Raw genomic sequence first — 24,122 nt, 5'->3', positions numbered from 1 at the left:
TGGTATGAGAATTCAACCACCATTGGCAGATTCACCGTCAACCTTATTCATGGGGCTTGAGCTCACAGTCCGCTGAAACCCCCAGTTACTGACGTACTCACTCAGATGAAGTCTTAGGCATTGTGATACAGAAGAATAAACCGAGATGAAACGTCTACATTTTTTGGTGGGAAGTGCTTGAATATTTCTGAAGGAGGTAGCCAAGGCCACCAGACTGAGGTCTGGAAGAAAGAAATTCAAGGATGAGAGAAGGCATCAGGGGAGTAAAGAGAATGGTTCTCCTTGTGAGACCTAAGTCTGGAAGATCCCCCCTCTTGAGTGGTCCCTCAACCCTTTTAGAAAGATCAGTGGAGAGCCACCTAGTGGTAGCTGACAGGGAAGGTTGGCCAAGATAAGACAAACCTAATATGCCCCATTTATTTGCAAGCTTTATCAGAGAAAGGATCTGTTCCTGTTAGTTTTCAACCAAGCTCTCAGACACTCTTTGGGTCAGTATATTATAGAGGTACCCAGCATGCACAGGACAGTGTCATTCTAGGGCAAGTCTGTGTCAATATATGACTTCTGAGTCATTGGGAGGGCCATGCTTCCTCCATATGCTGACAGGAACATCCATATAATTCACCAAGAATAGGCTGCCTGACTGCATGTTCAGAATGATCACCTCTCAACATCTGAAATATAACTTTGCTCTGTGCTCAGTAGAAGGCTTCAGTTCCAAGACATAGTCCAACTGCGTAAAAATAGAATGGGAGTGGAAAGGCACTCTGGCGAAGAGATAAAAGGTGTGGTTTAAAGACTGGAGTGCCATTTTAATGTGGCTGGACTGTCTGGCAGTTTAAAGGAGCTTTGCTGAGCCAGACTGATTGAGGAAGGGTTTTATTGATTTTTGCTTTTATTTTTTAATGGGAAAGACTTGAGCTAGTTTTATAGGCTAAGGGTAAAGACACAGTGAGACAGAGTCAGTGGTTCAAGATTCAGGAAAGGATAAATGATGTAAGAAACTGACCATAAAAGAGTTTGTTTAGATTATTAGCATCTTTTCAGAAAGGGAAATTAGAGATTCTTCTACATTTCTAAGTTAAGACACAGTTATTCCACAGTTCCATATGCAAATATTAATCCAGTATTACAAAGTGTGAATACTTTCTCAGGTTCATTTAGGTTATATTTCAACCTATCCCAAACAAATATAATCAGTAAAGAGCCCACTGGAGTGATGGTTTAGAGGAGATGGGAATCTTAGGCTTGCGAAATAGCTAAGTCACTTGAGATTTATATCAAAAAAGTCTGTCAGTAAATTAACAAACCTGTTTTGTTAACAAATTGAGAAGGTATTCATGAAGATTCATCAGCCTAATGTTGATGAAAGATGAACAGGATATTAAATAAGTCATGGAAATGCTGAAAAGAAACCAGGTTAAGAGGCATAGCTAGAGCTGTCTCTCTACTGTTGTAACGTGTTATTGGTTATTTGCACAAAAATTCCAAGAGAAAATAATAATAACCTTTAAGTAGCATATCCGTAATTTTCATTTTGCTGTCTCCTCCTTCTTACTGTAAAACGTGTGTTGTTAAATACATTCCCTTAAGCAACATCACTATATTCCTGAAGTCACTAGATGGCCACGGTACATCCACAGGAAGTTAAGTCAAAGCACCAGCAGTGTTCATTTAACATGGTAAAACCTCCATTTCCTCACCTACAGAATGGGGATAATAATAGTACTTAAGACCATAGGATGGTTGTGAGAGGTGGTTGAGAAAGTACGTACATGCTTACTAAATGGTAGGCAGTGTGTGTTATTATGCATATGATTTTCACAGTAGGTATGCCATGCTTTTTCTTCATATAAAGTTAAGGAATAATGAATACATAAAAAATGAAGAGACACAATTTGTGTGTTTCTATTAAAAACAAAAAGCTCTGTGGCGGCAGACAATAATTCGAGAAAAAAGGGCAATGTACACAATGAAGGAGAAAATAAAAACGTAATGAGGATGCCAGACACAGGCTTTGTGGGGAGGGAGGACTCGGCTGAGGAGAAAATTAATTTAGTAGATTTCAAAGATAAGCAATGTTTAGTGCAGAAACATAATTGCCTTTACTTTACTTATAGGTCAAAAACTGAAAAAATGGTCACTTTGAAAATTAAAGAAGTTGCTATTATTGTGGTTGTCATTAATAAACATTATAATGTGGTATGAATGATGCTTCCCATGCTAGTCCGGGAATGTCCTTTTAAATAATATTTTCATGTTTTGTTAAATTTGGAACTGATGGAGCATTTGGGGTGTACAAGGTTAGGACAAGGGATTTATAAACATGTCTGAAAAGATGTATCTGGGATAAATCAACATAAAGTGAAAAAGAGAAAGAATGCAATTGTTGTGTCTTAGTAATTTCACTAAATTCATCTTAAACAAGGCTTGAGTCAATCTATCTATCTATCTATCTATCTATCTATCTATCTATCTATCTATCTAGAGAGAATCCTTTTTGAATGTACTTGAAGAAAAAGCAAGAAAAAGGAAAAGCAATCCTTGACAGAAATGTTAAAAAAACCACTTAAAAAATCATTGTCCTTCTATTTAACTGTATAAATGAAAAATCAGACATAGTAAATAATATTTCTATCTTGTTTTATTTAATATATAGCACAGTAGCTAGTATAAATATAAATTTTTTTTTCTTTCATTCTTTTATTTTTTTTTTTTTTGAGACGGAGTCTCACTCTGTGGCCCAGGCTGGAGTGCAGTGGCGCAATCTCGGCTCACTGCAACCTCCACCTCCCGGGTTCATGCCACTCTCCTGTCTCAGCCTCCTGAGTAGCTGGAACTGCAGGCACCCGCCACCACGCCCAACTAATTTTTTGTATTTTTAGTAGAGATGAGGTTTCACCATGTTAGCCAGGATGGTCTTGATCTCCTGACCTCGTGATCCACCCACCTCGGCCTCCCAAAGTGCTGGGATTACAGCGGTAAGCCACCACGCCCAGCTGTTTTTTTTTTTTGTTGTTGTTGTTGTTGTTGTTTGTTTTGTTTTGTTTTAAGACAGAGTCTTGCTCTGTCACCCAGGCTGGAGGGCAATGGTGCCATCTCTGATCAGTGCAACCTCTGCCTCCCGGGTTCAAGTGATTCTAATGCCTCAGCCACCCTAGTAGCTGGGACTACAGGCATGCAGTACCACACCCAGCTAATTTTTGTATTTTTAGTAGAGACAGGTTTTCACTATGTTGGCCAGCTGGTCTTGAACTCCTGGCCTCAAGTGATGCCCGCCTTGGCCTCACAAAGTGCTGGGATTACAGACATGAGCCACTGCACCCAGCCTACAATAAATAGTTTTAATGATAATGGAGAAGATACAAGTGTGGGCTATAGAGTCAGACTGACTATGATTAAACCCTGACTCTACCAATTCCTGGCTTTGTAACCCAGAGCAAATGATATGATCTCTCTGTACCTCAGTGTCCTCGTTTGTCAAATGGGTATCAGAAGTGTCTAATTAGCTAATCCATGTTTGGAGTACCTGGCATATAATAAATACACAATGAATGCCCATTATGGTAAGTATTAAATAGTTGCCTTAGCCTTCAAGGGCTAGCATTTGAAGAGTCCTAGGTAGTGGCTTCATCCAGGAAAAGGTTGTGACTCAAATATACATTAGTATATTTAAAAAGGAAAAAAAATCTTGACTATAACTAAGATTATTTGGGTTGTACTAGGACAATTTTTATCACCCATCCTGCCCAATCTTCTAGATGATCTTTAACAGCAAAGTGTGTAACCATCACTCCTGGTGGTCACATGGTCCCAGTTCTGTCTCTGACCCAGACTAAGAAATCCCTTCCAGCTTTATCCTACCTTGTCATGGACAGGCATGATGCTGACCAAAGTGGTGTCCCTGGTTGTTGCATAAAAGCTTCATTCTTTTTTATCTATACTTTTCTACCCTTATTAAGATTGACGATGGTTGAACTCTGCTGGGAAGGGACCTAGCTGCCAGGATCCCTAGCAGCCCACACTCCCAGGCAACCCATAAAAGAACTGGTTGAATGACTTTTCTCCAGGAGGCCCTGTCAAGAGGCATGCAGTTTATACAGTCAGGCTCATTGTTAAGTCACTGCTTGGGTGTTAACTGTTATTACCTTACCACTGTACCCCTCAGTGCCTAGCTTAGTGTGCAGCATTTAATAGATATGAACTGAACTAAAATGAATTGAAAGCCTGCCTACATTCCTATTTACTTAAATCCTCAGACGCCTCTCAGATCATCCATTATCATTCTAATTCCTATCTCTATAGTTCCCCCAATCTGACCCAACCTCTGTTCCACACCACCCTTCAAAGCCTTTCACAGCACCTTTTGGGCATCCTGCTATAACCTGCAAATTTTCCCTCTATCTTAAGCTTCTCTTTGAATGTCTTCTTCACTTCCCTTCTTAAGCTGAAGGCTTGCTCTCTCACACTTCCCCAGTATGTCTCTCAAATAGAAGCCTTTTGTTTCTCACTCCCACAGGAGGCGGGGAGGGCATCCCTCTTTCTCTCTATTGCTGCTTCCACACCATTCTCCTCCTTCTTTCAAACTCCAGTTCCTTTAAAGTACTTGCCATGTAGTTTTATCACCTTGTATCAGTCAGTATCTGTATCCCCAATAGCATACAGGTGGCACACTTGTATCAGGTTAATTTGAGGATGAGTTATAAAGGGGTTATTTACAAAGGTGTGAATGTGGTAGGGAAAGAACAAGGGATGGTGCAGTAACCTAGGGCTAGTAACAGTGGAGCTGGTACCACCCCCTAGATCTGAAGGAACAAAGAAAGGAAATGCGGGGACCCTGAAGAAAATATATGTATAAAAAAGGCCATATCGAAAATAGCAGAAACCTTCAGTTCAGGGACACAGCCTTCCCTCCATCAGATCTTCTGCTGAAGATCATCACTGGCCAAACTCAACAAGAATCAGAGGGCAAGGAAACCGGTTGATTTAGTCCCTAAGTCTCAGCTAACATGGAACTGAGTGAAGTGGGAAAGCATGGAGAATGAATCTGGAGAGACAGATGGAAGATATCCAGCTCATACCCAATGATCTTTTTAATTGCTACCACTCTCCAATTTTTTACTCTTTGAACACATGAGCTCCTAGCTAATTATTTTCCTCTCTACCCCTCAGTGATTTCAGGATGCAGTGATATTTTTCATCCATTCCCAGTGATACTCTAAATACTACTACTGGTAATAACACAACATTCACTTCAAGCATTCCACTCTCTGACCATCTCTTATGTCTACAGTTCACTTACTCTAGTTCTTTCATTGCAATTTTTCAATCTTCTGGGGGCCTCCAATCCACAGATCTTACTACCATGCTACTATTCATCCACTCCCCCACCCCCACCCTCCTGTCTTCATTTTCTACTAGGATTACATGAAATTCCACAGACCTCACTCCCTTGAAGAGCGTCTTCTCTCTCCTTTGTATTCACCCATCAATGCTCCAACTCTAGTCAACTGCCTTGGTATATTTGTGCTACTATAACAGAATACCTGAGACTGGGTAATTTATAATGAACAGAAATTTATTCCTCATGGTTCTGGAGGCTGGGAAGTACAAAATCCAAGGCTGGCAGAAGGCAGAAGGCAGAAGGGCAAAAGAACACAAAGAGAGCAAGAGATGGAACTTGCAGCATCAAGCCCTTTCATAATGGCACTATTCCACTCATAAGGGTGGAGCCCTCGTGAACTAAACACCTCCCATTAGGCCCCACCGCCCAACAAAGTTCCACTGGAGGTTACATTTCAAACACATGCTTTTTGGAGGACACAGTCAAACCATAGCACCAACTATCTGCCTTTTCCACTGGGGGGAAAATATATAAAATTATGCTGACTAGTTTCTCATTATATTTGCTATCAGAAGCCTCAAATGGGCATTATAATCTGCCCAGAAATCCTACACTGGTCCTGGTGAGTGTGCCAATTACTCTTTAAGATGATTATTTCATACCTTGTCTTCCTTCAAGCTTCCCACACTGTACACTCTCCACACTCTCATTGACTCACCACAGATTCTACAAACATCCCTATATCTACATTCATCCCTGTTCTCCATTCTGTTACGACAGAATGAGGGTCGTTCCTCCTATCAAAGTCCAACTTCCCCACTTGTGCTCCAGGTTCCAAACCATTCCATCTTTTGAAGATATTTATTCCTGTGCTCATTCTTTTTCCCTCCCACAGCAATTTTCCTCTACCGCCTCTTTTTAACATCAATATGTCAATTAACTCCCATCTTAAAAAAATAAGGTTCCTCAATTCCAAATGCTCCTCCATCTCCCACCCAATTTATCCATTCCCCTCAAAGAAAAACCTGCGATAACTGGAGACTGTTTTTTTTTTCTTTTTCATGTCCCATTCTTTCTTTTCATTTCCATCTGCCTTCCATCACTACCTTATTTAGATCTCCAGTGACTAACCTGTTCCCAAAATGTCTGATCCCACCTGTCAACAGCATGTGACATAGCTGACTGCACTCTCATTCTTCAATTATTTTCCTTTTTTGGTTTTTGGGGACACCATTCTTTGCTAATTTTCCTCTTATCACCCCTTTTCTTTTCCATCTTCTTTGCTGGCTCAATTTCCTCTACTAGACCTCTGAATGTTAGTGCCTCCAGACTCTTCTCTATCCTGCACTGTCCAATACAGTAGCCACTAGCCACATGTGTCTATTTAAATTTAAAATAATTTAAATGAAATAAAACTCATTTCCTCAATCACACTAGCCATATTTCAATTGCTTAAAAGGTACATGTGGATAGTATACAACATGGATACAGAACACTTATATCATTGTAGAAAGTTCTATTTGACAGGACTGACCTCAACTCTTCTTTGGTGATCTCACCCAATCCGATAGCTTTAAATACCATCTATACGCTAATGAATTCTAAATTTATACCACTAGATCTGACCCAAGCTTCAGGTCTGCACATAAAACTGCCTATCTGACATAACCACTTGGATGCCTAGCAGGTTATTCAAACTAAAGTCAAAAACAGACCACTTCACTTTCATCATCTCCTCCCCTTCCCCTACCCACAAAAGCTTGTTTCTCCTTCAGTCTGTCTATTCTTTGCATATAATACCACCTAACCAGTTTTGAATCAAAAAATCTAGGAGTCATCTGGATTCCTCCTTGTTTTTTAATCCCCAATATCTAATCCCTTAACAAGTTTTATTGACTCTACCCATAAAATGTATATCAAATCTGACCTCTTCTCCCTCCACTGTTATCTCCCTAGTCCAAAGTTTTTGCCTGGACCACTGTCTTATTTATATGACATCCCCTGCACCTAAAACAGTGTCTGGCACATAGCAGATGCTTATTAAATATGTTGAATAAATTAACATGTACAATCCTACAGAAAAGTACAAAATTATCTGAACTTCTAAAATAACTTTAAAAATGTGCATGAGTAATATTTGCTGTAGAAACTTTGGGAAATAGATTTAAGAGGAGAATAAAAATTGTCCAGGTGTGGTGGCTCATGCCTGTAATCCCAGCACTTTGGGAGGCCGAGGCGGGCAGATCATGAGGTCAGGAGTTCGAGCCCAGCCTGGCCAACATAGTGAAACCCCGTCTCTACTAAAAATACGAAAAATTAGCCGGATGTGGTGGCAGGCGCCTATAATCCCAGCTACTAAGGAGGCTGAGCGAGGAGAATGGCTTGAACCCTGGAGACGGAGGTTGCAGTGAGCTGAGATCGCGCCATTGCACTCTAGCCTGGGCGATAGAGTGAGACTCTGTCTCAAAAAAAAAAAAAAAAGAAGAGAATAAAAATCACCTCCCAGGCTGAGCTACGTGGCTCACACCTGTACTCCCAGCACTTTGGGAAGCTGAAGCGGGTGGATTGCCTGAGTTCAGGAGTTTGAGACCAGCCTGGGCAATGTGGTAAAACCCTGACTCTACAAAAAATACAAAAATTAGCCATGCATGGTGGCATACACCTGTAGTCCCAGTTACTTGGGACACTGAGGTGAGAGCATCTCCCGAGCCCAGGGAGGTTGAGGCTGCAGTGAGCTGAGAGCGCATCACTGCATGCCAACCTGGGTGACAGAGTGAGACCCTGTCTCAGAAAAAAAAAAAAAAAAATCACCTCCCAGACATGCTTTACTTATGACTGGTTATAGACCACATATCGTTATTCATTTTGTCAACTATTAACATAGTTTTCATGCTTTTTGCAGCACTATAATTTACTTCCATGAATCTGTTAAATGTACTGTCAGCGCAACTCATCTTCCCAAGAGAAATTTTAATTGTTGCTTCTTCTCACTCAGTCTTAACTTTCCTGATTAATCCACTATAGCTTTTTTTTTTTTTTTTTGAGACAGAGTTTCGATCTTGTTGCCCAGGCTGGAGTGCAATGGCACGATCTCAGCTCACTGCAACCTCCCCCTCCCGGGTTCAAGCAATTCTCCTGCCTCAGCCTCCTGAGTAGCTGGGATTACAGGCATGTGACACCATGCCCTGCTAATTTTGTATTTTTAGTAGAGACGGGGTTTCTCCATGTTGGTCAGGCTGGTCTGAAACTCCCGATCTCAGCTGATCCACCCTCCTCAGCCTCCCAAAGTGCTGAGATTACAGGCATGAGCCACCGCACCTGGCCTTTTTTTTTTTTTTTTTTTTTTTTTTTTTTTTGAGACAGGGTCTCTGTCACCCAGGCTGGAGTGCAGTAGTGCAAATATGGCTCACTGCAGCCTTGATCTCTTGGGTTTAAGCAAACCTCCCACCCCAGCCTCCTGAGTAGCTGGGACTACAGGTACACACCACCATCATGCCTGGTTAATTTTTTACAGAGATAGGGTCTCACTCTGTTGCCTTGGCTGGTCTCAAACTCTGAGGTTCAAGTGATCCTCCTGCCTTGGCCTCCTAGATTGCTGAGATTACAGGCATGAGCCACCATGCCTGGCCCACTACAGCTTCTTGACTTCTTGATTATCTATACATTCTGTGTCTGTCACAGCCCAGGACTTGGCTTACCCAGGTGACATTTTTGGCAGGAATTCTCAGCTATGTTCCTGTCCCTGCCTGCTACCTAGCTGCTCCCTGCAGTTCTCAACTTTCTTGGCAGGAAAACTAAAGAGTTTTATGATCACCTTAATTCAGAATAATTCAACCAATAAGTCCAAACAATGTCTGGTACCCCACCCTCTTTGATTCTCTGCATTTCCTTGCAAGCCCCCAATGTTTGATTGCTTCCATTCATTCCAGCTACATGCCAAGTGTGGTCAAACTAATATTTCCTACAGATATAGGTAATTATAATAGTGAGGGGATGAAGTAATGGGAAATGCAAGGGTGTCCTCCAAGTATTAAATCTACCTTAATATAGAGCTTGGGGCCTGGAGCTAAGTAATTATCATATGCCTGACATTTTCATTGCATGTGTCAGTTTACAAAGCTGTTTCAGACACATCATCATCACAGCAATCTAGATGCTATTGTTTGCCTACCCAACAACCCTCCCTGCAGCTTCCTCCTCACTGAGAGAATGCCTATTTTGTTCAGTACCCACCCTCCATCCAACAGCCATGTATTACAGGTGAGTTGTAGATCATCCTCCTCCCACCTCCACCAGCTTTGAAGTCGCTTTCCTTTTATGCCTGGGAAAGTGATATAAGTATGGCCAAAAGGAGTGAAAGAAAGTCTGCTGTGAGGGGTTCTAGAATAAGTTTCCTTGCCTTTAAAAAAATAAAAAATAAAGCAGGCCGGGCGTCATGGCTCACCCGTATAATCCCAGCACTTTGGGAGGCTGAGGTGGGCGGATCATGAGGTCAGGTTCAAGACCAACCTGACCAACATGGTGAAACCCCGTCTCTACTAAAAATACAAAAATTAGCTGGGTGTGGTGGCGCATACCTGTAGTCCCAGTTACTTGGGAGGCTAAGCCAGGCGAATTGCTTGAATCCCAGAGGTGGAGGTTGCAGTGAGCCGAGACCGTGCCACAGAGCAAGACTGGGGGGGAGGGGCAAAAAAGACCCGACAAGATAACCTCTTTTTTGGCTATGGAGATTGCCCTGTTGGATGTAACCATCCACACATCCCATTCTGGGACCACTAGTGTCTTAAGTATCAGGTAAGACTGTTTCAGGTTGAAGACATTATTAGGAATGGCAGAGTGGGCATATACAAGTAAATGATACTCCTTGTATTATCCTTGAGCTGTTTTTCTTACTACACCAAAGACCCTACCTCTGGACTTCCAACTACGCATTTGTAAGCCCAGAGAATTCTGATTCCATTAAAATTTGAGAGACACTGACTTCTAAGTCCACAACTATGAACTTTCTCCACCCTTACTAGCTAAGTAGACTTAGGCAAATTATTTAACTTTTATGGAATCTACTTCTTTGTCTGTAAAAAGGGAACTAATATCCACTTTAAGGTCTTACTGCGAGAATGTATAGTTAAGAAGATTTGATGGAGCCGGGCGCAGTGGCTCATGCCTGTAATCCCAGCACTTTGGGAGGTAGAGGCGGGCAGATCACCTGAGGTTAGGAGTTCGAGACCAGCCTGGCCAACATGGTGAAACTCTGTCTCTACTAAAAAAAAAAAAAAAAAAAATAGCCAGGCATGGTGGTGCATGCCTGTAGTCCCAGCTACTTGGGAGGCTGAGGCAGGAGAATCGCTTGAACCTGGGAGGTGGGGGTTGCAGTGAGCCAAGATTGTGCCACTGCACTCCAGCCAAGCGACAGAGTGAGACTCTGTCTCAAAAAAAAAAAAAAAGAAAAGAAAAGAAAAGAAAGAAGATTTGATGGAAGACAATTTGGAAAGTGTTGTAAGGTCCACGGACTCTACTCACAAAGTCTCCCAAACTTGCTTGCTGATAGGAATGGACACGCTGGTTACATAAGCTAATCCCAGGTGCCCGATCCCCGGAAATTCTGATTCAGTGTTTCCTAATGGACCCTGGGAGTCTGCACCTTTAATAACACATTCTAGGCTCCAGGTAAGTGTGGTGATCAGGCAAGTTTGAATTTAGCAAAGGAATACAGGATGCAGTACTCCTGTCCAGCAGGACTCAGATTTCTGGTTTCTGATTCTAGATCTGACGCTATTCCACTTGGGCAAGCAGTTGCACCTTTCTGAACCTTTTTACTCATCTGTATACCTGTTCAATATAACCTACAGGTAGGTCTATGGTGGACCGAAGGCAAATTATATTTGGGGTGAAGGGGCTCCTGATCTTAGTATTTTATGTTGTCGTAATGTGGATTAATTAGACATAATTAATTTATTAACAATTAATTAATTAGACATAAGCAAAATTGAGATTGAAGGGGGTGTTGGCAGATCATCATTTTGGCTGAGGACATGAGAAACACACTGGAAATGCTTTGTGATAAAATTAACTGAATATTAATTGTAGGACTGTGCCTTGTCTATCCTGCTACCTAGAGCCACTGAGCTTTGCAATCCTCTTAGGAGTGTGGCTTACCTTTAGGTGGTCACCCTCAACTACTCTGGTCACACTGAGAGCTGTGAAAACCTCGAGAAAAGTTAAAAACATACATGTTGGGAGACAGGGGGTTTGGATGAGGGCCCTAAATTCGATGTTTAAGCCTAGGGTCCTTACTGGCGAACACTTTCAGTAATGTCTGTGTGCAACAGAAACATTTCTCTTGGCATTAAAAAAAAAAAAAGAAAGAAAGAAAGGATGTATTCCCTTAGCTTCAGGTGGCATTCACGAAGTTGACAGAGCCAGAACACCTCCTAACTGGGGAGTTTCGGGACCTTTAGGGCGCAGAGACTGCCTGACCTCGTCGTGGGCGTAAATCAAGCTTCCCCAGCGCTTAACTTTACAATTTTCAGCTTACGCTTGGCTGCAGCTGCGCACAATCCGCGCAGAAGCAGGGGTTCCGCTGACAAACGTGAACGTACAGAACGTAGAAACCTTTTAACGCTAATATGCAGTTTCCCTGTATGGCTGTTGTGCATTATTAATCTAGGTATTGCGTATTTAGTTTAGGAAACACGAATACTACATGATAAATGAGGTAAAATGGATTGTGACTGGGACCTCAGCTTCTCCGTCGCCTCCACTCCTCCCAGCTCAGGAAAGACCAGCCCACCAAGACGTGCGTCCTCCGCGTTTGAGTCGCTTCGGCACCCGTAGTTGTGAACTTTGACAGCGGCTGGTCCCCGGAAGTTGGACGCATGCGCCGTTTCTCTGCATGGTGTGCGTTCTCGTTCTAGCTGCGGCCGCAGGAGCTGTGGCGGTTTTCCTAATCCTGCGAATATGGGTAGTGCTTCGTTCCATGGACGTTACGCCCCGGGAGTCTCTCAGTATCTTGGTAGTGGCTGGGTCCGGTAAGTATCGAGGAGGCGACTGTCGGACTTGGGTTGGTCACTACAAACCCCAGAGTGCACCGCGACGCTCTTCCCTGGTACCCTTAGCACTTCTTGGAGTGTTGCATGCAGAGATTTGTAGTTTCTCTGCCTTGCCGGAACCGGGCAGTCCAGCCAGGGTAGGGGCTGGTTTGCTGACGCGGCCCAGAGGTTTTTTTTATGACAAGTAATTTACACTTGTCTATAATTAAGACTCTCTGTAGCGTATATTTTTCAAACAATTAGTGAACAGAGAACGTAGAAGCCTTTTGATGCAAACATGCAGTTTCCCCGTATGGCTGTTGTGCATTATTAATCTAGGTATTGCGTATTTAGTTTAGGAAACACGAATGCTACATGACAAATGAGGCAAAATGAATTGTCACATTTATAAATATACAAAGTCCAAGAGGATAAAAACAATGATCTACGGGCTGTAGAACAATACACACGCGGTGGCAGAGTGTGAGCAACACACTGACCTGTCAGGTAATACAATCTAAATCCACCAACTCTGTAGGTGCTTACAATTTTAAATACACATATTTGACAGGGACAGACAGACACACACAGACACAATGTAAACATTTGGGTATGGCAGGAGATTGCATCCAGATAGAACATGTATAGTATGAGTAAATGTACTAAGTTTATGTTCAAGTATAACGCATTACTTTATTCACTTAATCTGTTTTGAGCTGTTAGAAAGACCAAACACTAAACTAACCTCTGGAAATAACAAAACTGACTAACATTACTTGCCACGGAGTGCTGACTCCGTGCTAAGTCCTGTGAGAGATGCAAAGATACAGCAGTAAATGAAATAGAGAATACAAAAAAACTAACAGAAAATAAATCAAAATGAGTATTTGCCACAATGAGATAAATGCTATAATCTTGTAATAATTGTGTAAGAAGTACAAATTGCTATGGCAGTCTTCAGGAAGGGCACTACTTTATCAGGTCTTAAAAAACAGACAGCTTCCTGGAAGAAATGATGCTAAACTGAAACTTGAAAGATGACCCAGAATTAGTCAGATGAGGGACAGCCAGGGTTTCGAGGGCTGGGAGGATGTGAAAAGAAGGTGATAACACTTGGAATGACCAGAGTTGAGAGAACACTATCGTGTAGAGTTCAATGTAGGGAGGTAAACTGAGTCCAGATTGTAAAGAGTATTTAAAATCTTGCTTTTTTTCTTTTTTATACAGAGTCTCACGCTGTTGCCCAGGCTGGAGGGCAGTGGCGCAGTCTCAGCTCACTGCAACTCCACCTCCCAAATTCAAGCCATTCTCCTGCCTCAGCCTCCCGAGTAGCTGGGATTACAGGCGCACCACCACACTCAGCTAATTTTTGTATTTTTAGTACAGACAGTGTTTCACCATGTTGACCAAGGCTGGTCTTGAACTTCCGACCTCAAGTGATCCTCCTGCCTCAGCATCCCAAAGTGCTGGGGTTGCAGACGTGAGCCACCCCTGGCCTAAAATCCTGCTTTATAAAGCAATTGCTGCTACTCCACTGTTGATATCATGTAGGGGTTAAGACCACAGGCCTCTAGGTTGTCATAACACCACACATGAATCACATTTCTGCCACTTACTACCTTGGGGATCTCAGGCAATTAGTTAACCTCGCTGAACCTTCTGTTTCTACATGGGTTGAGAGAGGACAGGAGAGATTAAATAGGATCATATTTAAAGTGTTTAGGCCGGGCGTGATGGTTCACACCTGTAATCTCAGCAATTTGGGAGGCCGATACAGGCGGATTGCTTGAGCTTAGGAGTTGGAGACCAGCCTGGGCAACATAGTGAAACCCTGTCTCTACATTAAAATAAATAAATAAATTAGGTGGATGTGGTGGCATGCACCTATAGTCCCAGCTATTTGGGAGGCTGAGGTAGGAGGATCACTTGAGTCTGGGAGGTGGAGGTTGCAGTGAGCTGAGATTGTGCCACTGCACTCCAGCCTGGTTGACAGAGTGAGACCCTGTCTCAAAATGAAATAAAATAAAATGATATAATCAAAAGCTTAAATTAAAAAATAAAGTGTTCAGTAAAGTGCTTGACATATAGTGTCAACCTAAAATAATCAAAGGGCTCAATATCCAGTTAGAAGAGTTTATTCAAGCACAAAGCGTGAGATTGGGTGTCTGGGGAGCAAACCTATACCAAAGAATGTAATCAGTGCTCCCCATGTGGGGAAGAATGAAGGTAGTTTGTATACGCAAGAACAGAGATGCTGAACAAAATTACAATATTTTCCATACAAAGGCCAACATACAGATACAAGATTTGGTTGGCTACTGTAAGGGCCAAGGGGAAACTTCCCTTTTGCCCTCTGAAGTTTCACTGAAAATCACTGATGAGGCAGAAATAATAGGAGAAAAGGCATACAAATTTATGAAGCATATATGAAAGTGTTCTGAATGAAGACCCAGAGATACAAGGGAAATGGTCTGTTTTTATGCTTAGGTTCAGCAAAGTATGGACAGCCATGTAGAATTATGACTGGACAAAAGGGTATAATTTAATGCTAATAGACAGTAGGGAAGCCCAGCAAGGCCTGTCTAGATTTTTCTTGGTCTCTCTGAGCATGCATTCCTTTCCTTCTGGATGTGGGGTAGGGCCCTCTCTGGAATGGGGGTCTTATGACCTACCGTCAAACAAGGTAGATCAGATAATTTTTTTAATTTAATTAATTAATTTTAAAAATAGAGATGGTGTCTTGCTATGTGTGCCAGACTGGTCTTGAACTCCTGGCCTCAAGCAATTCTCCTGCCTTCCAAAGCGCTGGGATTAAAGGTGTGAGCCACCTCGCCCAGCTCCCCAGCTCGGATAATTTCTTTATGGCCAGTTTTTACACAGAAAGGTGGAGTAAAATTAGAGTAGTATTTTTAGGTTTTATGACCAGCTTTTGGGAGAAGGAGTTCTTGGTTTCTGTGACCCGCCCTGGGGAAGAGAGATTCTAGTTTCTATGGCAAGCCTCAGGGGAGTATGGGACTGAGAGACAGAGGACAGGAGAAGGCCAGAGAAAAATTTTTGCTTCTAAGGCCTTCATTTTGGGATATTATTTTCTAAGTCCCAACACTACTATTGATTACACACTAAGGGATTTGTTTAACATTCTGGTATAAGGAGGTAACAATCACAAAGGCCTCTATCTCCAATGTCATTTAGTCTAGGTTTGAATAAAGACTAGGGAATCTGGTTAATGTATAACATCTCAACACAAAGGTCAGGAAGCAACAGACATACACCAAAGAGAAAAAGCCATGTTACATGAGTCAGTTTCCAGGGCTTAGCTTTTCCCCTTGGCATAATAAATTTGGAAGGTCTTGACATTTTCTTTTCTTTTTACATAAGCATTTAATAAATGGTTACTGTTATTAGTCTTGGTGGCAAAAGGAGCTTTTGAAGTTTTGTTTTGGTTTTTGTTTTTAAGACAGACTCTTGTTATGTACCCAGGCTTGCCTCTAAATCCTGGGATCAAGCGATTCTGAGACAGCCTCCCGAGTAGCTGGTACCACAGGCACGTGCCACCGCACATGACTTATCTTTTTCAGTGGAGAGTCACCCACTTCAAGCCTGCATTGTCAAAAGAATGTCTTGACAAAGACCGAAGTAGAGAAACAAATAGGAGCCTTTTGAATATTTCAGATAAGGATGTGAAAAGAAGGTGATAGCACTTGGAATGGCCAGAGTTGAGAGACTGGAGTCTGACTGGAGTGATAGGTGTGGGGCTGGAGAAAAGCAATCGCATTCAGATGAGATTGGAAGATTTTAGGAGTTAAATCCACAACTGTGGATTGAAAGTAGAGGATGTGGGAGGGAAGGACTGAAGGGTGATTTCCAGGTTTCTGACTTGAACAAATGGATGGATGTTAGAACCATTCACTTGATAGTGTTACATTTGGTGGACTAGAAACCAAAATTAAGGTTGATAATTCACCTGGCAAATGGTGCCTTCATTCAGATTATTGAGGGTAGGAAGGTATCAAGGGCCTGAAAGAACCATGCCAATTAAAGGAAGACTTGTAATCAAATAAGCAGTTTAATAGTTCATGCCCAAAATTTTGGAGGAGGCAGAAGGCATTTTCAATATTTACCTTGAAGACCAAGCGACATTTACTCTTTAGATATCATAAAATATTATTAGTAGGCCAGGCACTGTGGCTCACGCTTGTAATCCCAGCAATTTGGGAGGCTGAGGTAGGTGGATCACCTGAGGTCAGGAGTTCAAGACCAGCCTGGCCAACATGGCAAAACCCCATCTCTACTAAAAAATACAAAAAAATTAGCTGGGCATGGTCGCAGGTGCCTGTAATCCCAGCTACTCAGGAGGCTGAGGCAGGAGAATCGCTTGAACCCAGGAGGCAGAGGTTGCCGTGAGCCGAGATCACGCCTGGGCAACAGAGCAAGACTCCATCTCAAAAAAATAAAAAATTATTAGTAGATCACTTCTGTTCAGAGAACATTTGCCAAAACTACTTTTCTTTGAAACATAATACAGCCTTCTTAGGCAAATGTTAGATTTAATATCAAACATTCATTCTTTCATTCAATAGGACAGCCTGCTATTTCTAGGAATAGGAGGTACAGCAGTAACAAACACAAATCCCTGCCCTCATAGTATGGTGCTTGCCTTCTAGTGAGGCATGGATAGAGGGAGATAAAAAGCAAAACAAATAAATAGACTACATAGTAAGTTATGCAGTGATAAACACTACGATTTGGGGAAGGGGCATTGCTTTTTTATGAAGATTGTCAGGGAAAGCCTTCTTGGGGAGATGACAGCCAACAGCAAGGAGGCTAGAGTGATTAGAGTAGACTGAGTAAGCGGGGAGGAACAGGAGATGAGCTCCAAGAGGGAACATAGTTGAGGTCAGAGTATAAGAAGCCTTTTATTTCACATGAGACATGAAGCCACTGGAGGATTTTGAGCAGAAGTAAATAATTTGATCAACTCGAATAGGGTCACACGGGATGTTATGTTGCGATAGACTGAAGGGGAAGTGGGTCAGGGAACAGATCAAGAAACTGTTCATAATCCGTATGAGAGGTGATAGTGGCCTGGAGCAGGGGAGTAGCAAAAGAAATGGTGAGAAATGATTGGATGCTGGATGTATTTTAAGGTAGAACTTAGAGATTCTTATTCTCAAAAAAAATGTATCAATAAAAGAGTAAAATGGAAGACAAAATCCATCATTTTAATGACTTTATTCAGTAACAAGTTTAAATTTTCAGTGAATATACTGTCAAGCTAAATAACAGAGAGAGATTCTCCAAAGATAATAAGTGTATTCAAGAGTAAGCATTGTAGTGTGGAACACACATGCCGAGTAAACTATGGGCACATTCAAAGAGGCAAGGGAAGACAGCAATTTTTAAAGCTAAAATGGGGAGGGTTACATAAGTTGTTTTGAAACAATTATCCTTGCTTACAGGGATCAATAATAAGGGTGGCATCAGTCCAAGGTTAGGCAGGCAACTGCTGGGCAGATGTCCTTGCAGAAGTTTTTTTTTGCATAAGGTTGCAGTGGCCTTTGTACAAGGTTGTGGTTTTGGTATAGTCTTTTGTAACAGTTCTTGTTTTCAGGCGATTGAGCATTAAGAACCCTTCCTTCATGGCCTTTCCCAGCTCCATTTTGTCACAAGTGACTCTATTTTTATCCTGACAACTTTCACAGTATTCAATGAGGGTTTCCTTAAAAAATAAAAATAAAAATAAAAAGTTTAAAAAAGGAAATAAAAGACTATTAAAGCAGGTATAATGAAGTTTTAATTGTAGTGGAAGATGTTGTGGATATTAGGTTTTATCCTTAATTATTCCAGCTGTGAAAACAAATACCTACTTGGAGTACCACCACTTGTTTTTTTTTTCTTTTTTGAGACAGAGTCTCGCTCTGTTGCACAGGCTGGAGTGCAGTCTCAGGTGATTCTCCTGCCTCAGCCTCCTGAATAGCTGGGATTACAGGCATGAGCCACCGCACCTGGCCTAACTTTTTTGTTTTTTTTCGAGGCTAAACCAAAGATACTAAAATGAGTATAAACCAGATGTGTAAATTATATGCCCCAGTCAAGAAGATGGGTGACAGGTTATAAAGCTAATGTATGATTTTAATTCCTGAAATTCACACTAAATCTATGCCAAATTTGTTTCTATATATAATTCCTTCTGGGATCTAGAACGAAATCCTTTCCTTTCTACTATTAAAAAAAAATGTGGGCTTGGCATGGTGGCTCACGCCTGTAATCCCAGTACTTTGGGAGGCCGAGTGGGTGGATCACCTGAGGTCAGGAGTTCAAGACCAGTCTGACTAATGTGGTGAAACTCTGTCTCTACTAAAAATACAAAAATTAGCCGGGCGTGGTGGCACACGCATGTAATTGCAGCTACTCGGGAGGCTGAGGCAGGAGAGTCGCCTGAACCTGGGAGGTGGAGGTTGCAATGAGCCGAGATCACACAATTGTATTCCAGCCTGGGCAACAAGCGTGAAACTCCACCTGGGGGGAGGTGAGGGGGTGGAGGGAATTTGTGTTGGGGGAAAACTCATGTTTAATTTATCTTTGTTTGTGTTCTTGTATCACTATATACTCTTTCTTACAACAATAAGGGAGGTGGGGTGGAGGAAGCCTTGTAGGTAGGGGGAGCAGCATGACCAGAGGCAAGGAGTGAGTAACGAATAAGGTGAATGCAGAGAATGTTGAAGACATCAACCTGACTGAGGCAGAGAGCTTGTGAAACGAGACTGAAATGGGTGTGATAGGGCTCCTTGATAAGGAGTTTGACTGTTGTGCTTAAATCGTTTATAGATAGGTAGATATTCTATTGTTGTTTTCATAAACAATGTTTTCATTGTCTCAATGAACATAGTTGATTTTTAAATTTATGCTTTCAAAATTAATGTATTAAAATTTTGGAGATTATATTATTTCAGAAACTGAACATTACTCATTTGGTGAAGCTGATAAATATTTGAGGACCTGCAGTGTGCTGAGACCTCTCATAGGAGCTGGGGTTACAGTGGTGAACAAAAGATGTTTCTTAGGAAGGCCCAAGCCCTGCTGATCAGCGCTCATGCCCCCTTCACCTTACTTCTCTACATAGAACCTTCAGTGACTGGCTTCCCTTTTCCCATCCTGCTTTCGTGCCTTATTTCACCTGTACCCTTCTTCCCAGTATTGCTATCACTCTTTGAACACATGTTTCAGATCTTGTCATCTCATGCCCTAACAATCCCCATCTCCACCCAGTGGCCTCCCTACTCCTATCTCTCCATTATCTTCACCTTTCAAGTCATCTCAGCCTTTTCCGGGGTTCTTCCTTATTTTTAAGGCATTGATTTTTCATAACCATTTGCTTACCCTTCACATTTTAGTTTTTCTTACTGTCTTGCATCTTCTTTGTCTTCATATATGTGTCTTGCCCCTTTCTCACCAGTCTTCTTGATAGCAAGAGCTATGTCTTATACTGTTTTGTGCCTTCCTTAGTACCTACTGCTAGTGCTGATTTTATTTTTATACATGTATTATCTGCTTTTGATATAAAAGTTGTATTTATACGAGGGCATAGATTTATTGTTTTCAAATGTTCCTTGTGTCTTCTGAGAAATATACAATTACAGTGCCCCCCCACCCCCAACCTGAAACCATGATATTGGTATAACATGGTCAAATGGATATGTCCATTGTGGGTTTCTTAATCTTAGGACTTCTGATATTTTTTCCAGGTGGGCATACCACTGAGATCCTGAGGCTGCTTGGGAGCTTGTCCAATGCCTACTCACCTAGACATTATGTCATTGCTGACACTGATGAAATGAGTGCCAATAAAATAAATTCTTTTGAACTAGATCGAGCTGATAGAGACCCTAGTAACATGGTAAGTGACAATTTCTATTTCTAAGAAAATTACAAGTTGCACATTGAGTTTAATTGTCTCTAGTAATAATCTCATGGCACTTCAGTGCCCTACCCACAATGGGCAGTCAAATGTTTGCTGGTGATGAAATACATTTCCTTTGCTACCAAAAGATATGAATTTCTATAAAATAAATCTTCAAATTAAAAAATGGTTGCTTAGCACATCAAAAAGTTTATCCACCATGATCAAGTTGGCTTCATACCCGGGATGCAAGGTTGATTCAACATACGCAAATCAATAAATGTAATTCATCACATAAACAGAACTAAAGACAAAAACGACGTAATTATCTCAATAGACACAGAAAAGGCCTTTGATAAAATTCAACATCCTTTCGTGTTAAAAACTGTCAATAATCTAGGTATTGAAGGAACATACCTCAAAATAATAAGAGCCATATATGACAAACCCAGAGCCAATATCATACTGAATGGACAAAAGCTGGAAGCATTCCCCTTGAAAATTAGCACGAGACAAAGATGCCCTCTCTCACCACTCCTATTCAACATAGTATTGGAAGTTCTGGCCAGGGCAATCAGGAAAGAGAAAGAAATGAAGTGTATTCAGATAGGGAGAGAGGAAGTCAAATTATCCTTGCTTGCAGATGACATGATCCTATATCTAGAAAATCCCATTGTCTCAGCCCAAAAACTTCTTAAGCTGATAAGCAACTTTAGCCAAGTCTCAGGAAACAAAATCAATGTGCAGAATCACTAGCATTCCTATACACCAACAACAGGCAAGCCGAAACCCAAATCATGAATGAACTCCCATTCACAATCACTGCAAAAAGAATAAAATACCTAGGAATATAGCTAACAAGGGAAGTGAAGGACCTCTTCAAGGAGAGCTACAAACCACTGCTCAGTGAAATCAGAGAGGACACAAACAAATGGAAATACATTCCATGCTCATGGATAGGAAGAATCAATATTGTGAAATGGCTATACTGCCCAAAGTAATTTATAGATTCAATGCTATTCCCATTAAACCACCATTTACATTCTTCACAGAATTATAAGAAACTATTTTAAAATTCATATGGAACCAAAAAGGAGCCCAAATAGCCAAGACAATCCTAAGCAAAAAGAACAAAGCTGGAGGCATCATGCTACCTGACTTCAAACTATACTACAAGGCTACAGTAACCAAAACAGCGTGATACTTGTACAAAAACAGATACAGACCAATGGAACAGAATAGAGAACTCAGAAATAAGACCACACATTTACAACCATCTGATCTACAAACCTGACAAAAACGAACAATGGGGAAAGAATTTTCTATTTTGCAAGGAGTTGAACTGGCTAGCCATATGCAGAAAATTGAAGCTGGATTCCTTCCTTACACTTTATACAGAAACTAACTCAAGGTGGATTAAAGACATAAATGTAAAACCCAAAATTATAAAAACCCTAGAAGAAAATCTAAGCAGTAGTATTCAGGACACCAGCATGGGCAAAGATTTTATGATGAAAATGCCAAAAGCAATTGCAACAAAAGTAAAAATTGAAAAATGTGATCTAATTAAACTAAAGAGCTTGTGCACAGCAAAAGAAACTCATCAGAGTGAACAGACAACCTACAGGATTGGAGAAAATTTTTGCAATATGTCCATCTGACAAAGGTCTAATATACAGAGTCTACAAGGAACTTAAACAAATTTACAAGAAAAAAACTGTTATTAAAAAGTGGGCAAAGGACATGAACAGACACTTCTCAAAAGAAGACATTCATGCAGCCAACAAACATATGAAAGAAAGCTCAACATCACTGATCATTAGAGAAACGCAAATCAAAACCACAATGAGATACCATCTCACACCACTCAGAATGGCGATTATTAAAAAGTCCAGAAACAACAGATGTTGGTGAGGTTGTGGAGAAAAAGGAATGCTTTTACAGTATTGGTGGGAATGTAAATTAGTTCAACCATTGTGGAAGATAGTGTGGCGATTCCTCAGAAATCTAGAGGCAGAAATACCACTTGACCTAGCAATCCCATTGCTGGGTATATACCCAAAGGAATGTAAATCATTCTGTTGTAAAGATACATGCACACATATGTTCACTGCAGCACTATTCACAATAGCAAAGACATGGAATCAACCCAAATGCCCATCAATGATAGAATGGATAAAGAAAATGTGGTACATATACACTATGAAATACTATGCAGCAATAAAAAGGAACAAGATCATGTCCTTTGCAGGGATATGGATGGAGCCAGAAGCCGTTATCCTCAGCAAACTAATGCAGGAACAGAAAACTAAATACTACACGTTTTCACTTATAAGTAGGAGCTGAACAATGAGAATACATGGGTACATATGGGGGAACAACACACATTGGGGCCTGTTGAAGGGAGGGGTTGGGGGAGGTAGAGCATCAGGAAGAATAGTTAGTGGATGCTGGACTTAATACCTAGGTAATGGATTAATTTGTGCAGCAAACCACCATGGCACACGTTTACCTGTGTAATAAACCTGCACATCCTGCACACATACCCTGGAACTTAAAAGTTGAAGGAAAAAAAATGGTTGCTTAATTTTTTGCATATTTTTTATTCTTTTAAATAGAGAAAGCAGTTTTTCGTTGAATTCCAATAGTGAAAATTATTTTATTTTTACTTACATACACGAAGCATCCTGTTCATGTGCTTATTGGCTCTTCATTAAAGCTCTCTATCAATGTGTTACGTTTATTGATAATTTGATTTATCTATGACTGCTGTTTCTTCTCCAAATCATACTTGTGTCTGCCTTTGAAATTATTAGTACTTCTTTACCCCTGGTTGCTCACTTCATTATAGCATTTTAGTCAGTGTTTAGAGATTTTTTTTTTTAAGTGAAACTACTTCTTAATTAAGGAAGGAAACTAGAGCTGTTCCTTATGTAGAGTGAGTGCCTTTATCCATCCCTCTCTCTGGGAACGGCCCAGCTGCAGGGCTGCTCTGGATAGTTCAGGGGTGGACAGCTGGCCTAACTCAGACCAATCGAAGTCTTTCTCTGAGCTTTCTGGGCTTGGAGACCTAGAGAATGGAATCAGTCTGTCTTCAGGCAAGCTCTGTAAATGATAAAGCTTGAAAGCTGCTGACAGTCATGTTTTCACTTAGAAGATAAAGGTAGTCTATAGATAGAAGAATGAAGATAATGTACAGGAAGAGAGGAGAAGCCAGTGTCTGGTGCTGCCTTCAGTGGCTCAAGAGGCCCTGCTATAGCTGTGTTGGTCCTGGATTGGTGGTTCTTTTCTTGGGAAATCAGGACCCACTCCTAGAACCCTACCCCACTCCCTTTGTTCCCACCTTTGTGACATACGCACACTCTCTCTCTCTCTCTCTCTCAAGGCTGTTTGTGTTAACTTTTGGTCATTTGTAAACCTTATCCCCAACTAACATACTACTAAAATGTATTCTCAAAAAATCCACGTCAAACAAGATTGGTATATAAATCTGCTTGCTATCATTCAGCTATAGCAAAATGTGTGGTACTTTTTTTCCTCTGTGGAAAATAAGCCAAAGTGATTTCGTTTTTGTTTTAGGAATCAATACTGTATTAGTTTCTTAGGGTTGCTGTAACAAAACTGGGTTTTTGCCACCCATAAACTGGGTGGCTTAAAATAACAGAAATGTATTTTCTCATAGCTCTGAAGGGTAGAAGTCTGAAATCAAGGTGTCATGGGGCCATACTCCCTCCGGAGGTTCTGAAGAAGAATCCCTCCTTGCTTCCTCCTGGCTTCTAGTGGTGGCCAGCAATGCTTGGCCTTCCTTAGCTTGCAGCTACGTCACTCTAATCTCGGCTTCCACCATCAT

The 24,122-nt window shown here is 41.3% G+C and overlaps 1 protein-coding gene and 1 long non-coding RNA gene across 6 annotated transcripts in view, besides 3 other annotated features; one reads left to right on the top strand and one right to left on the bottom strand.

Annotated features, from left to right (window-relative positions):
- Positions 6 to 726: a transcriptional cis regulatory region, noted in NCBI's record as "candidate enhancer chr1.7351 targeted for multiplex CRISPR interference". NCBI's record gives its function as "positively regulates TLCD4 gene expression with high confidence in K562 cells {active_cell/tissue: K562}" and the evidence as "EXISTENCE:mutant phenotype evidence [ECO:0000015][PMID:30612741]".
- Positions 12,063 to 12,422: an enhancer, noted in NCBI's record as "active region_1353". NCBI's record gives its function as "activates an Ori minimal core promoter by ATAC-STARR-seq in GM12878 lymphoblastoid cells {active_cell/tissue: GM12878}" and the evidence as "EXISTENCE:reporter gene assay evidence [ECO:0000049][PMID:35858748]".
- The window catches only part of ALG14 (ALG14 UDP-N-acetylglucosaminyltransferase subunit), a 98,547-nt gene continuing 86,608 nt past the window's right edge, over positions 12,184 to 24,122 (top strand). For 4 of the 5 annotated variants that reach the window (XR_001737025.2, NM_144988.4, NM_001305242.2 and 1 more), the window contains exons 1-2: positions 12,184 to 12,372; positions 20,118 to 20,269. Coding sequence is in view for 3 of the 5 variants with exons in the window: in NM_144988.4 (NP_659425.1) it covers positions 12,237 to 12,372; positions 20,118 to 20,269 (288 nt within the window). In the remaining 2 variants the exon portion in view is untranslated. The remainder of the gene's footprint in view (positions 12,373 to 20,117; positions 20,270 to 24,122) is intronic. The other variant, NR_131032.2, reaches the window with a different exon arrangement.
- Positions 12,663 to 12,742: an enhancer, noted in NCBI's record as "active region_1352". NCBI's record gives its function as "activates an Ori minimal core promoter by ATAC-STARR-seq in GM12878 lymphoblastoid cells {active_cell/tissue: GM12878}" and the evidence as "EXISTENCE:reporter gene assay evidence [ECO:0000049][PMID:35858748]".
- On the bottom strand, positions 17,590 to 23,539 carry ALG14-AS1 (ALG14 antisense RNA 1). The gene is made up of 2 exons (NR_132786.1): positions 22,946 to 23,539; positions 17,590 to 18,091 (listed from the first exon to the last, which is right to left on the bottom strand). It is a non-coding gene; the product is annotated as an ALG14 antisense RNA 1 (long non-coding RNA).

The sequence above is a fragment of the Homo sapiens genome, chromosome 1 (assembly GCF_000001405.40).
Source record: "Homo sapiens chromosome 1, GRCh38.p14 Primary Assembly".
NCBI classification, from domain to species: Eukaryota; Metazoa; Chordata; class Mammalia; order Primates; family Hominidae; genus Homo; species Homo sapiens.
Note: the sequence above shows the minus strand (reverse complement) of the source record. Positions and strands in the feature narration are given on the sequence as shown.